The 15,722-nt window shown below is 34.4% G+C and overlaps 1 protein-coding gene across 5 annotated transcripts in view; it reads right to left on the bottom strand.

The window, feature by feature from the left end:
* Positions 1-15,722, bottom strand: part of KIF20B (kinesin family member 20B) — a 73,345-nt gene that overhangs the window by 46,372 nt on the left and 11,251 nt on the right. Inside the window, exons 7-17 of one of the 5 annotated variants that reach the window (NM_001284259.2) lie at positions 14,480-14,516; positions 13,381-13,608; positions 12,016-12,127; positions 11,068-11,139; positions 10,841-10,987; positions 9,691-9,853; positions 8,857-9,144; positions 4,460-4,599; positions 3,405-3,543; positions 2,042-2,270; positions 667-707 (exon numbers count right to left, since the gene is read on the bottom strand). In NM_001284259.2, coding sequence (NP_001271188.1) covers positions 667-707; positions 2,042-2,270; positions 3,405-3,543; positions 4,460-4,599; positions 8,857-9,144; positions 9,691-9,853; positions 10,841-10,987; positions 11,068-11,139; positions 12,016-12,127; positions 13,381-13,608; positions 14,480-14,516 — 1,596 coding nt within the window. The remainder of the gene's footprint in view (positions 1-666; positions 708-2,041; positions 2,271-3,404; positions 3,544-4,459; positions 4,600-8,856; positions 9,145-9,690; positions 9,854-10,840; positions 10,988-11,067; positions 11,140-12,015; positions 12,128-13,380; positions 13,609-14,479; positions 14,517-15,722) is intronic. The other 4 variants (NM_016195.4, NR_168374.1, NM_001382506.1 and 1 more) reach the window with 4 other exon arrangements.

Raw genomic sequence — 15,722 nt, 5'->3', positions numbered from 1 at the left:
TCCAGCCTGGGCAACAGAGTGAGACTCCATTTCAAAAACAATAAATAAATAAAACTAAAAAAACTATGTCACCCTGGGCAAGTTACATCATAAAGTTGCTCTAACATTTAAATGAGTTAATAAAAAGCACTTGAAGGAGTATCTGGTAAATGGTAAGTGTTCTATAAATACATACATAAAGTAACAGTCTAAAGAGCTTCCAAACAAGTTGGTTTGGTTTTGTTTTAAATTTAGGAAGAACATTATGGGAAATTTTTTATTTTCTATTTATATAGCTTAAGGTAATTGGTACAACTAGTGTCTACTATTTTCATAAGTAGAAAAAATACAAGAAAAGATAGGAATTGTATAAACAGTAGGTGTAATGTCTTCTAAGTACATTTTTGTTCTTTAAATACTGGATATTAGATACCAAGATCTTGAATTATTTATATCTGATCATATTTTAAAATATTCAGCTTTTTGAAAGGATAAATACAAGTTGAAATAAGAAGACTCAAGCCAAAGAAGAACAGAAAAAATAACAGAATAAAACCAATCCCCCATGCATACCAAGAGACTATATTACTGTTTAATTATTTTTTAAAATAAACAAATCTAGTCATCATTCATACCCCTTTGTTAATTAAATACCTTATCAAGACAAAATAAAACTTAAAGCATTACCTTATTAGATGTCTCAAGCTCTTGAATCAATGAATCTGATTCTGAAAAAATAAAGAACATTGAAAATAAATATCTAAGCATCTAAAAATATGTATCACTGAATAACTATGAAACATATGCTGCTCTAGTGACACTTTACTGTTACATTCAATAAAAAGGATTTTGATAGCACTAGAAGCACACCCTACTCATTAAAAAAAAATCTGCTAATTCAACCACAACAGGGTAATGTTTCAGAAAAAGCCACTTCTAAAACTCAGGATAAAAATAGGTGGCATATGCTAAATAGTAAAGAACTGGCATAGCATCAGAGAAGAAAAGGAGCTAGTGCTTTTTAAGTACATTTCATAATGCAAAGGCACCACTTACGTGTTATTTTCTACCCATTTGTTTCACACAAAAAAGGGCAGAGCAGTTATTGCAACTAATTCTTAAAATGCAGATATTACAAACAATTCTATTTATGTATATAAAATGCCCTCAGCATGGTGGCACATGTCTGTAGTCCAAGCTACTCAGGAGACTAAGGTGGAAGGATCACTTGAGCCCAGGAGGTGGAAAACTGCAGTGAGCCATGATCATGCCTCTGCGCTCCAGCCTGGGTGACAGAGTGAGACCCTGTCTTTAAAAAAAAAAGGGGGGGGGAAGACAGAAAAAGAAAATGCCCTCCTAGTTAGAATGAAGCATCAAACTAACAAATTACTTTAAACCACTCCACAGTAGTCACTCTATCCCAACAGTGAATCTTCTATACTGCAAGAATTTATAAAGAATATAGAACAAGGCCAGGCACAGCACGGCTCATGCCTGTAATCCCAGCACTTTGGGAGGCCGAGGCAGGCAGTATCACTTGAGCCTAGGAGTTCAAGACCAATCTGGGCAGCATAGCAAGATCCCATCTCTACAAAAAAGAAAAAAAAAAAATGCAGCCGCTGTGGTAGTGCACACTTGTGGTCCCAAGTATTCAGGAAGCTGAGGCAAGAGGAGTAATTGAGCCCAGGAGTAGAAGGCTGCAGTGAGCTGTGATGCCACTACTGACTCCAGCCTTGGTGACAGAGCGAGACGCTGTCATAAAAAATATATATATATAACAAAATTTACAGCTTTACTCATAAAGTTAACACTTGTTTTGACTTTTTTTGTTGAGAAGCTCATTTTCTAATAATATTGGTCTAAAATAAATGGAAGTCAAAAAATATTTTTAGTAGTAAATTACTACAAAGTCATACAAATGGTAAAATATTAAAATATGTTACCTAGATGAAAGAATTTTCTGGTCACTACGGTAAATGAGCTACATAAATCTCTTATACTTACCAAGAGTACTTTTTATGTGTTTACAATATCTAAATAAAAGTAAAATGTATCCACTTACCATTTTCTCTCTTTTTTAACTCTTCTTTGGTTTTGATTAATTCTCCTTTGGTTTTAGCTAATTCAGCTTTAATTTGATTAAACTTTAGTTCTAAACAAGCAGTAGCTTCCTGGGGGTCAGGAAGAGATGCAATATATAAGTGAGCAATTTCAGCCTGTTTCTTAATATCAGCAACATTATCTTGAAGAGAATCAATAATATCTTCAAATCCTACATAATTATGTGTTTCCTAAAAATAGCAAAAACCACATGCCTAATATTAACAGTAGGGTTCACCCTTTACATGTGGTACCATCTAATTTAGACAGTTTTTAAAAAAGCAAAAAATTCATCACTTGAAATTCTTTAAAATAAATTATATAGAAGCAACTCCAATTATGAAAAACCTGTGTTCCATTATTTATTTTCTGCTGTATGGACCATGAGGCATATTTTCGCATAAAAACAATGTTACAAACTGTGACAAGTCATTATAGAACAATTATGATTACCTAGTTCAGGTATACTTTCAATTATATAATGAGACTTAAAAGGTTTTGTTGGGATAGTGCATGAAACAAACCTACATTTTCACAACTCAGTCAATCCCAAACCACGTCAAGGATACATAAGGTTTGCTTGACAGCAGACGTCTGGACATCACTGTCACAGGCACTTGAACTGAGTGATTAAAAAACTAAACAAAAACAAAAAAAAACCAACTCCCCCAAAAAACTGATCAATTTCAGCTTCAGTGGAAGCAGCAGAAAAGGATAATTTTTCTTATATTACAAGTAGAGAATAAGCTGAGCACAGTGGCGTGCACCTGTAATCTCAGCCACCTGGGAGGCTGGGCAGGAGGACTGCTTGAAGCCAGGAATTCAAGATCAGCCTGGGTAACACGGCAAGACCCTAACTCTAAAACTATAATAAATAAATAAACAAATAAAATTTTAAAAGAGTAAGAAACGGTAGTTGCCCGGCAAGGGCAACCCTTTTTATACATAAACATTTTTGTTTTAATCAGAACAGCAAGTAAATGACGTCTTAGGTCTCTTACACCTTTAAAATTCTTTTTATTTAAAAATGTTAAGTAAGACAAATCTCAAAAAAGAATCTATCTGCCTACAACACAATGATTCAAGCAATACCAAAATAAGATATATATATATATAACAGAGGTATAAATTTTTCAAAACCAATCATTATATTTAAATTCTTGGTGCCTTACACTTCTAAAAAAACATGCCTAATTATAATAAAGCTACACACAAAGCATTGTTTTAATTCTAAACTATCTTGGTGTTTCTCATCATTGATGTGGTACACTAAACCCTGGTACCAAAACCTCACTGGATATTTTTAAATACTTCAATTAACATACTTCAGTTTCAACTTTTGTGGCACAAATGTCTTTCGCTGCTTCTTCTCGAGTGTCACATTTACCAACCAAATCCTTGAAGATAGCCAAACGACGTTCAGCATTTTCTTCTAATATCTCTCGTTCTTGAAGCAGAGTCTCCCTTCAAAATACAAATTAATCCCATTAAGAAACAGAAAACGAACTACTTTGTGTTTTTGTTTTAAACATCTAAGTTTAAGTATATTCTAGATTAAAAGAAAATTTAGTCCAGGTACAGTGGTTCACGCCTGTAATCCCAGCAATTTGGGAGGCGGAGGCGGGTGGATCACTTCAGGCCAGGAGTTTGAAACCAGCCTGGCCAACACAGCAACACCGTCTCTACTAAAAACACAAAAATTAGCTGGGCGTGGTGGTGTGTGCCTGTAATCCCAGCTACTCAGGAGGCTAAGGCAGGAGAGGCTAAGGCAGAAGAATTGCTTGAACCCAGGAGGTGCAGGTTGCCGTGAGCCAAGATCGCACCACTCAATACCAGCCTGGGTGACAGCACAAGACTCCATCTCAAAAAATTAAAATTTAAATTTAAAAAAGAGAGAAAATTTAAATAACCATGCATGGGATTAGTTACAGCTATATTCTTTTTTTTCTTCTCTGAGACAAGAGTCTCACTCTGTCGCCCAGGCTGGAGTGCAGTGACACAATCTCAGCTCACTGCAACCTACACCTCCCAGGTTCAAGAGATTCTCGTGCCTCAGCCTCCTGAAAGCAGCTGGGACTTCAGGAACATGCCAGTACGCCCAGCTAATTTTTCTATTTTTAGTACAGACGAGGTTTCACCATGTTGGCCAGGCTGATCTCGACCTCCTGACCTTCAGTGATCCGCCTGCCTAGGCCTCCCAAAATGCTGGGATTACAGGCGTGAGCCACCGCACCAGACCAGTAACAGCTATTTTCAAGCTTGTATAAAGAGATCAGAATTCAGAAGCCACCTAATATAAAAAGTAAACTAAGTAAAAAAAAAAACTAAAAAACTAAATAAAATTCTCAATTTTTACCTGGACATGAAATAAATAACTTACTTAAAGTCAGCTTCCCGTTGAGCCCAATACTGAGTAAACTCCTGTGTAACTTCTTCTCGAATTTTAAATTCCAAGGTTAATTTTTCCTTTTTTTCATTTATCAGTTTTTTTTTCAAGTCTTCTATTAAGTCCAACAGTTTCTATTACATGTAAATGATAAAATTCTTATAAAAGAATAAATATATCCCAAGAGAAATACCGTCCAACTGTTCAAAAAATAAAACTTTACATTTAGTCAATTGTAATTCTGTGTCCTTTTTAATAGTGATAATGTTCTCACTGAAAATTATATGTTTGCAAAGATTTGTTAACTGAAAAATCAGGTTGGCCTTTCCACATTTTAGAAATAGACCTTTGGTAACTCGTCTCACTGTTTAGCTATACTAAGAAAATAAGTAAAGTTAATTAGTGCATTTATTATCTATCAAGAACTACTCTGGGGAGTTCCATATTTGCTTCATTTAATCCACAACTTTCTGTGAGCTTGGTATCATCCATATTTCACAGGTGGGAAGCATAAGGATCAGATCTCTGGTAAATGCTAAAGGTTGAGTTTAAAAGTGGCCTGTAAAAGTCTAAAGCCCAAGGATTGCATACACCAGAGAAGTTGCTAAGAACACCCACTTACTAATCTGTCAAATAAAGATGTTACATAAACTTATATTAGGCTTTTATAACTATCCAGATGTCAACAGCAATTCTATAGCCTTTGAAACACATACATAATCATGAAAAATGTGCAATATATAAATAAAGCAATAAATAAAACACTTAACATGACCATTATACATTCATAACATAAATTGTAGCATTAAGGAAACAGCTACATATTCTTTTTAATGTTTCTATTTAAAGTTACTCAACAACAAATTAAACAATAAACTCTAAGCTACAGATCTTCCAATGTCTCAACTTTATATTTGAAAATAGTTCTACAGCTATCCAGACTTTGAAACTCTGCCTCCAAGAATTTATACTGAAAATAATTATAATATAACCCCATGTTCTGGTTGTATGAATGCTGATCACAGTGTTGTTGTTTTGTGATGGTAGTTGTGTTTAAATAATGAAAAAGTGAACCCAACTCAACCAATGTTAAAGGATTGGTTTAATTATGGTACTACCATAAACTACCGTAATCAATGATAACCTATATTAATAATTCATACTTTTCACAATTTATTTTTATATAAAGAATACCAGGTTACAAAACAGTAATATATAATAAAAATCCATTAACATTCATGGTAGATTTGAGAGATCTTTATATTTAGATTTTCTTTTTCACTCTACTATAAATACATAATACTATTTTAATAATTTTAAACTACATACTTTCTGAGTAAAACAATAAATAATAACTATTGAAGGAGACATCAGAATGAATGTGGAAAAACCTTGGGAAGTTTGTTTATTTTATTTATTTATTTTTTTTGAGACGGAGTCTCACTCTGTCGCCCAGGCTGGAGTGCAGTGGCTCGATCTCGGCTCACTGCAACCTCCGCCCCCCAGGTTCACGCCATTCTCCTGCCTCAACCTCCCGAGTAGCTGGGACTACAGGCGCCAGAAACCACGCCTGGCTAATTTTTTGTATTTTTAGTAGAGACAGGGTTTCACCGTGTTAGCCAGGATGGTCTTAATCTCTCAACCTCATGATCCACCCACCTTGGCCTCCCAAAGTGCTGGGATTACAGGCATGAGCCACCGCGCCTGGCGGGAAGTTTAATAGTTTTCAATAATTAGGTTTTATCATTGTTAGCATCTGATAAAGTTTTTGCTGAAAAAATTTAGGCTGGCTATTACAGCTAAACGAATTTAAGTATATGTATGCTAATACCAAGGTATTTTATAATGGTTTTTAAAAGTCCCAATCCTTTAATTAAAATGTCAAGAAAGGGCTGGGCACATTGACTCACATCTGTAATCCCAGCGCTTTGCAAGGCAGGAGGATTGCCTGAGCCCAAGGGTTCAAGATCAGCCTGGGCAATAGAGCAAGGCCTCATGTCTACAAAACATTTTTAAAAATTAGTTAGGGGTGGTGGCATGCATCTGTGGTCCCAGCTACTCAGGAGACTGAGGCAAGAGGATCACTTGAGCCCAGGATTTCGAAGCTGCAGTGAGCCATAACTACACTATTGCACTCCAGCCTAGGTAACAGAGCAAGACTTTGTCTCTAGAAGAAAAAAATAAAGCATGCCAACACCTAATCATATTGATTTTTAAATGTCAAATATTAGACATTTTGATGAATTTCCTTAAAATATTTAGTCAATCTTATATGATAAGCATTTATACTATATAATCCATCATAAACTATAGCATTAAATATTTTTCTCTAGTAATTTCAGAAATTTTACTAACCAACATTATACAAAAATTTCAACTTTGAAATGAAAAAAAAAAACTGGGTTTTTTGGTTTGTTTCTTTGTTTTTAAGACAAGGTCTCACTCTGTCACCCAGGCCAGAGTGCAGTAGTGCAGTGATGGCTCACTGCTGCCTAGAAATCCTGGGCTCAAGCAATCTTCCCACTGCAGCCTCCCAAGTAGCTGGGACTACACCTGTGCATCATCATGCCTAACTAATTTTACTTTTTTGTAGAGATGGGGTCTCACTATGTTGCCCAGGCTAGTTTTGAACTCCTGAGCTCAAGCAATCCTCCTACCTCAGCTTCCCAAAGTGCTCGAATTACAGGTGTGAGCCACTGCACCAGCCAAACTAGACTATTAAAGGCTCCTTTCGTCACTGAGGAGGTACTATTTAATACATTACAGAAGCCCAAGTAACACGGTCTAATCACATAGTGACCAGATAAAGTGGGACTTGTACTACATCTGAAGCTATCATTCTTGTTTCCAAACATATGTTCAATAATTGCTTTCAGGGACATGAAGGTAAATTATTAAAATGAGAGTATTTAGCCTAATACATCATCGTTCTACTTATACTTCTGCAATCCAGAAGAGTACTGTGATGTGTGATGTGTCAACACCATTAAAGCACACCCATGAACACAGGTCTACTAGTGTTTGTAGGACACTGGTAAGAGGACTCCATCTATACTCACGGAGTTATGGCCAATTAAAGATGGGAATAGGTGGCCAGGTAAGGTGGCTCATGCCTATAATCCCAGCACTTTGGGAGGCCGAGGCGGGCAATCGCAAGGTCAGGAGTTCGAGACCAGCCTGGCCAACATGGTGAAACCCCATCTCTACTAAAGATACAAAAAAAACTTAACTGGGTATGGTTACGCATGCCTATACTCCCAGCTACTCAGGAGGCTGAGGCAGGAGAATCGCTTGAACCCAGGAGGCAGAGGTTGCAGTAAGCCGAGATCGTGCCATTGCACTCTAGCCTGGGCAACAGGGCAAGACCCTCTCTCAAAAATAAATAAATAAATAAATAAATACTATAATTGGACAGAAGCTAAAAAAACAACCGTTAAATCTTATTTATTTATCATAATAACAAGACGACAAACAATTAGTGTTTTTGAAGATATGGGATCATAGGTACTTGGTAGATATTTTTAACACTTGTACTTGAGACTGCAAAATAAAGGTCTGATGGAATACATAAAATCACTTAGTGAAAGGATACTCACATGGTCTATAAGTAACACCCCACAGATAATATGGTTTTGCAATACAGATCTGAAATACTGTTATCTTAACCAAGTGAGCAAAACTTAGCATCTCTAAGAATGGAAAAATCAGACATCATGTGGCTCTTGGTGTGATGCAATGGAAAATTTACAACTTAACCTACATAAAAAGCTTCCCTAATGTATTAAACCTAAATCATGAAGAAATAATCAAACAAATCTAAATTGCAGGTATTCTATGAGAAAACTAGGACCCACTTTTCAAAAATGTCAGTGCTAGATTAGAAATGATTAAAGAAACACAATAATCAAAAGCAATGTGTTAACTCTGGCTGTAGACAAAAACAAAGTGGCTATAAAGAACATATTTGGAACACTGGGGAACTCTCAATACAAACAGTATACGAGGTTATATTAGTGTATCAATATTAAATTTTTTGGGTATGAAAATTTCATGGTCTTGTGATCATGATGAAAATGCCCATGTTCTTAGAAAAATATGTTCAAATATTTAGATGTAAGGTGTCATTATGTCTGGATCTTATTTTCAAATTGTACAGACCAAAAGATGTGTATTCACATACTCATAAAATGGTAAGTGGAGAATCCAGGTGAAGGATAAATGAGTATTCATTGTACTAGTCTTTCTATAGGTTTGAAATTTTTCAAAATATAAAGTTGAACACAAAAACTTCAGTGTACTGTTGAAAAAAACTGAAGAGAGAGAGCCTTAAGATTTAACCTTAACTTCAGAATAAGAAGACAAGCATAGAAGTATGAGTTCTTAATACATACTCTTTTCTCCTCGTGGCTAATGAAAGCCTTATTTTCCTCTAATGTTTTATCTAGATCTTCATCAAGAAGTTTAGTTTCCACATTTTGAGTTTCTTCAGCGTTTTCTAGCTCCTCAACCAAATCCTCGTCTTCCATCAAATCTTCTAGACTATTTTCCCATGAAATGGTGGCTCTTTTTACATTTAATATTTTACTGTTTGAATTACTGTCTAGTGATACATCTTGAGAAGATTTGACAGGTCCAAATAATTTCTCTTGAGAGGAATTTAAAGTGTCTGGGACACAAACCTGTTAAAATATTCAATGTGACTTTTAAAACAGAAAAGACAAGAACTGTCCACTAGAAAATGATTATTTTATAAATTTAAGTCAAATGAACACTCAAGTGTTAAGGAAAAACTATTCAAACAAACATACAAACAGGAATCACCATCCCTAAAAGAACATTCTGATAGGAAAAAAGCTACTTACACATGTAAACTAGAGGAAAAATCTATCTTCCTGGGCTAAGTGTTCAGTATTAATCTTAGCAGAGGGTTTTCCAATCACCCAGAAGTACCAAATGAACAAGATGAATGGCAGAGCAGACAATTCATTCCAAAAATACTCATTAATTTATAACTGATGTTTATTACTAATTCTTATTACTAAAGGTCATTTTAATCCTAGCATGGGCAACTTTCAATCCTTTCTCATGTCTTCCTACTTGGTTAAATATTTACCTTTTTAATTTTCAATTATTTCCTAGGCTTACAGTATTAAGTAAAAAATATTTATTTCAAGAAAAACTGTTAATATTCTAATAATAAGAGGCTTAATAAAATAAATATTTACTTTTTGTGCAATGGCGGAGAACTTCAATACATTGAGTGTTTCATCATAGGCTAAATAACATTGGCTGATATTGACAATCATACAAATTTTCCCTTTACCATTAAAAAAACTTTGAAAATAGTGAGTCAGTTTACTTTCCCGGAAAGGCACATGCTGTTGAAACCTACAGAAAAAATTTTCAGAAAACATTGTAAGTTAAAAAACATCTCATGAAATCAGGGTGCTGAGACATTTTACAAAGAAATAATTAAGCCACCTATCATGAAATTAAACTTTAGGGTAGTGATTAGTTTCAGATGTAATAGTCCTTCTCAGTTTTCTTTTTATCTTTTCTTGTTTGTTTTTGTTTTTGTTTCTGTTTTGAGACAGGGTCTAGCTCGGTTGCCCAGACTGGAGTACAGTGGCACAATCAGAGCTCACTGTAGCCTCAACATCTTAGGCTCAAGCGATCCTCTCGCCTCTGCCTCCAGGGTAGCAGGGATTACAGGTGCCTGCCACCACACCTGGTTAATTTTTTTATTTTTATTTTTAGTAGAGATGAGGCTGGTCTTGAACTCCTGGGCTCAAGCAATCCTCCTGCCTCGGCCTCCAAAAGTGCTGGGATTACAGGCATAAGCCACCATGCCTGGCTGTTTGTTTTAACTGCTGCTACTTACTAACAATAACCCACTATGTAAATTATAAAGAAAACCACATTTAACTGGGTTATGTTCCCTAGTATAGAGCAAGTATATAAGAGATGTCATGAAACACCCTAAATAGAAATGGTGAAGGCTGATTTATATTTACTCAGCCTAAAATGCTAATTAATGTAAAAATCTATTGCATCTAGAACCACACACAATGCATTAATAAGAATAAAGTGGTTTTAGATCCTAAACCAGCATTAGAAGCTTCTCATTTACAGTGTCTATTGGTATAGATTTGCCATGGAAAATACTGACTTTACCTGATGAGTTACTGGCATCAACTGACATTTCTATCATTGTCTTTAATCCAAGATCTCTTAAGTACTTGAATCACAATCTATACACAGTCATTACATAAGAAGCAGTTTAAAAATCAAAAAAGAACTTTCTAAAAACAAAAAAGTTGAAAGTTTAAATATTGTAATATTTAATATGCTAATAACACTTTCAGAAACACTTACTTTGACTTTTCACTATTCTTCAAGACGTTAATACACTTTCCCAGAGTCAATAAAGAAGTGTTGATATTCCCAGTCTCTCTTAACCTTTCACCTTCATTCTGTGTCTTCATAGTTCGTTCTGAACCAGCAAGATCACATAAAGATAATCTGAATTAAGAAAAAAAAAGTACTTTAAAAGTTCTTCAAAACAATTACAAATAATTAAATTTAAAGAATATTCAACTTACTCACTGACTCGAATTACACGAGACATTTCAGAATCTTCAATCTGTAATATTTTAACAGTGAATATGCTGTGACTGAAATACAAAGATCAAATGTTATCTTATCATTTTTAATTTCTGCATTCTAAATAGGAGAGACAAGTATTCAAATCAATCTTATTTATACCCTAGTATAACTACAGTCCACCATTGCATTTTCCAATTAGCTGTTAAATATTTCAAGCCAGTGTTCTACTGTCACTTACATACCCAAATGCCTAAAATCACCTTTTGCCTAGCTCTAAATCCCTCAAATTATATCCTGACAGTTCAACTTCTATTAATAGTATCATTTATAATAAAGCGACATTTTGTTTGAAAAGATAATATTAGTTAAAATGATATTATGTACAGCTAGCCAATACTCTGAATACATACCTAAAGCAAAGCATACATTTGACCTATAGATCCGGATCTTGTATTGTCCCATGCCCAACTGACTACGGGAACAGGGCTCCTTCTCTAAGAAAAAGCCTGCTTTAATTATCTCACTGCTTAAACTTATTTCCTTTGCCTCTCATCCCCCAATCCCATCAAAACTTCCTTCCTTAACCCCTTGAGATTATACCCTCACTGAGTATATTTATATAGTATTCAGGGGATAAGTGAGAAAGACCCAGAGAAAAGGCCACCATTATTACCAACTCCAAAAATACTGAGCTTAGATACTGACATAAAGAAAGAGTAAAAATACCTCAGAGATTTCCTATAAATTAATAAATCTACTGTCAGGACAGGAAACAGTATTGATAAACGTGTTTAGTGTTATTCTGTATACCAAATGTTTTTTATGCCTTATGAATTTAACACGAGAGAACCTACTGCCCACTTTAATGTAAAATTAGCTGTGTTTAAATTAACACAGAATACTATCGGTGATTCGAGTTTACTCTTACAGAGTTTATTCTTTACCTTCTACTGGAAGCATTATTCAATTTTGTGAAGGCAACACTCTGGTGCTTTATTCCTAGTTTTAAAAGTCTATAGGCTTCTTTGGAATCAGATACTTGAATCCATTGTAGATCTTTAAAAAATAAAGAGGATATATATTAATTTATTGAGACAAAGAATGTGTTCTACAATGTAATCTCTTTGAAAGTCTTTTCCTAGTGACATATAATGAAATCTTTCTTCTAACAACACATCCTAGCTGGAGTCAACTCAGCTATTTCAGGTTACACCAGAGAAGATTGTAACAATGTTCTAGAATGTAAATTACACAAACACACAAAATAAATGTTTGTCAACAGAGTCTGCCAAACGGAAAATTGAATACAGTAACAATTCCTTAGAATTAGACACTCAGGGAAAAAAAGAGTGGCAAAGTACAGTACAGATTAAACCTGTAAAATTACCTAGCTATTAAACACTGAAGATTGTAATTTATTAGTGAATCATAAAATCAGATTTATTGAATCATGACCAGTATTTTAATTTTTATTTATTTATTTATTTATTTATTTATTTTGGAGACAAGGTTTCACTCTGTTGCCCAGCCTGGAGTGCAAAGGCGTGATCATGGCTCTCTACAGCCTTGACCTCCTAGGCTCAAGTGATCCTCCTGCCTCAGCCTCCTGAGTAGCTGGGACTACAGATGCATACGATCATGCCAGGCTAATTTTTGTATTTTTTGTAGAGATGGCGTTTTGCCATGTTGACCAAGCTCGTCTCGAATTCCTGAGCTCAAGTGATCCACCTGCCTCAGCCTCCCAAAGTGCTGGGATTACAGGTGTGAGCCACTGCATCTGGCCAGCATTTTGTAGAAATGACAAAGAATATAGAAAATATTACAGTGCATTCCTTGTAGTAAAAGTATAATTAACGAAACTTTTGAGTTGTAAATATTACATATGAATATATATACATGCATGTAGGTACTGAATCATGATGTTATTAATATGTGTTTCCTACTGTGAATAATTGTTTTAAAAGGTTAGAAAAACCACTCCGGAAGAATAGTAACATTTCATAGCTCCAAAATTTGGACACTGTTACAAAGCAGGAGAATAACGTGAACATAACCATACACAGCTTTTCCCATCACCACAAATCCAATTAATGATACTCAAGCAAATACAATACCAAAATAGACCCTTTTATATTCAAGTTTAATAAATATACCAAAACATACTTCCAAAGCACAAAATTATCTTCTTCTCTTAATGTTAATAATTAGCATTACAATTTTCAATTTTCTATTTGTTTTAGTCTTACAGCTATCACAAAGCCCAGGAAGAGAACTTCAGAGCAATAAGATAAAAATATTCATTAGTATACCTTTTATAAAAGAATAGCCCTTTACGTCTTGGGAAAGGCGCAGCATCTTTCTCTTTTGGAATTTAGATGATACAGGAACAAATAAGTCATAAATATATTCATTGTAAATTTCAAAGAAAGAAACCCACACAGAAAATTTTATACTATTAGCCATATTCAAGTTGGCTTGTTCATAATCTTTTATGGATTCTTCAAACTCTGAGATATTCAAAGAGTTAGTTAAACTTCCTACAAAAAAAAGAAAAAGAAAAAACAATCACGAAAGTAAGCAACTGACTAAAAACGTGACAAAAGTACAAATCGATTCTCACACTTGAAAAACCAAGTATGCTTAATCTTTTGACCATCTATGTTAAAAACTTTTTGGAACAAAGGAAGATGTAAATAATATGTGGATTAACCAAAGTTAGACAACTTCTTATAATTCCTTTCTTTTTGAAAATATGTTAATGAACCAATAGAAATTAAATGTAAAGGACAAAGAAAAACAAGTGTCTTTCAAATTCAATATTAAAATTGTAACCAGTAAAAGGGATATCTGTAATATTTAATACAAACGAAACATCACAATGACTGACATTTCATATAAATATGTATCATTTTCCAGGTATCACCGACTATGTCATTATAGAAATTAAATCCTTAGTAACCAAAGAAGAGGTCTATAGAAAAAAAATAAATAAATACAAGGTGAAAATTTTTTTTTTTGAGACAGTTTCACTCTGTTGTCAGGCTGGAGTGCAGTGGCGCGATCTCGGCTCACTGCAACCTCCACCTCCTGAGTTCAAGGATTCTCCTGCTTCAGCCTCCCAGGTAGCTAGGACTACAGGCCCGCGCCACCACGCCCAGGTAATTTTTTTATTTTTAGTAGAGACGGGGTTTCATCATGTTGGCCAGGATGGTCTCAATCTCTTGACCTCATGATCCACCCACCTCAGCCTCCCAAAGTGCTGGGATTACAGGCATGAGCCACCGCGCCCAGCCTAAAAATTTTTTAATAATAAAAATAAAACATTAGAAGTGATTTAAAAATTAAAAGCTTTTCAAGTGTACTTCATATAATCGATACATCAAAGATAAGTGAGCAACGAAACCTTACCATAAAGAGTATCATCACTATCATTATGCACAGTAACCTAAAAAAAAGATTGTTTTAAAAAATTAAAAAAACATTTTCATTAAGGTTAAATAATCAAGATATTAATTACCTATCCAAATAAGTCACTACCAAATCACAACCTTTCATCTACTCAATTCAATGAATTCTTTAATTTTTCCTAGTTAAATAATATAGTTTCATGGAAAAATACAGAGAACTATGAAAAAGAATATTATCATGTATAATCCTGCCACTCTGGTTGGTTACTATTAATATTTTAAAATATTTCCCTTCTATTCTTTTCCCCACACTTATGTTGTAAGCTTTTTCTCCCCATAATTAAAAATTGTTTACAACATTTGATGGCTATATAAAACATGTGAAATGACTTAATTATTCCCTTATTATTAAACATTTAATTTATTCACCAAGTTTTGCCAAACATCTTTACATATTTTCTTCTGCATTCTTATTATTTCCTTAGAAATAGAAATAAACCCATTTCCTTGGAGTATACACCTAAAAGTGAATTGGTGGATGAAAAGATATAAAATATTTTAATGTTCTCACTCTTAACACACTATTGCCAATTTGCTTTCTAGAACCATTTACAATATATGAAAGCACATTATCTCATTTTTTTTTAACATTTTAATCATTTCATAGGCAAAACAGTATCATGTTTTAACTGGATAACTTGTTAGAATTTTTTTTTTTTTTTTTTTGAGAGAGTCTTGCTCTGTCACCCAGGCTGGAATGTAGTGGCGCAATCTCGGCTCACTGTAACCTCCACCTCCCGGGTTCAAGCAATTCTTGTGCCTCAGCCTCCCAAGCAGCTGGGACTACAGGTGTGAGTCACCATGCCCAGCTAATTTTTTGTATTTTTAATAGAGACGGGGTTTCGCCATGTTGGCCAGGCTAGTCTCCAACTCCTGGCCTCAAGTGATCAGCCTGCTTCAGTCTCCCAAAGTTCTGAGATTACAGGCATGAACCACCATGCCCAGTGAAAAATTTTTTTCATTATTAATGATTTTAATTTCCTCTATGAATTGGCTATGGAGTTATCCACCAATCCCCATAAATTTTGTTAAAACACTATTCTACTTTCAGAGACCATAGTCACAGACTCAACTTTGAACTCCACTGGTAACACACTTTTTACTGCCTTAAAACCCTGGTTTCTAAATGTTTTAAAAAAGAAAAATTTGCATTAATAATAATAGGGTAAAAATATTTACAAAAA

This window comes from Homo sapiens, chromosome 10, assembly GCF_000001405.40.
Source record: "Homo sapiens chromosome 10, GRCh38.p14 Primary Assembly".
In the NCBI taxonomy this organism is placed as follows: Eukaryota; Metazoa; Chordata; class Mammalia; order Primates; family Hominidae; genus Homo; species Homo sapiens.
Note: the sequence above shows the minus strand (reverse complement) of the source record. Positions and strands in the feature narration are given on the sequence as shown.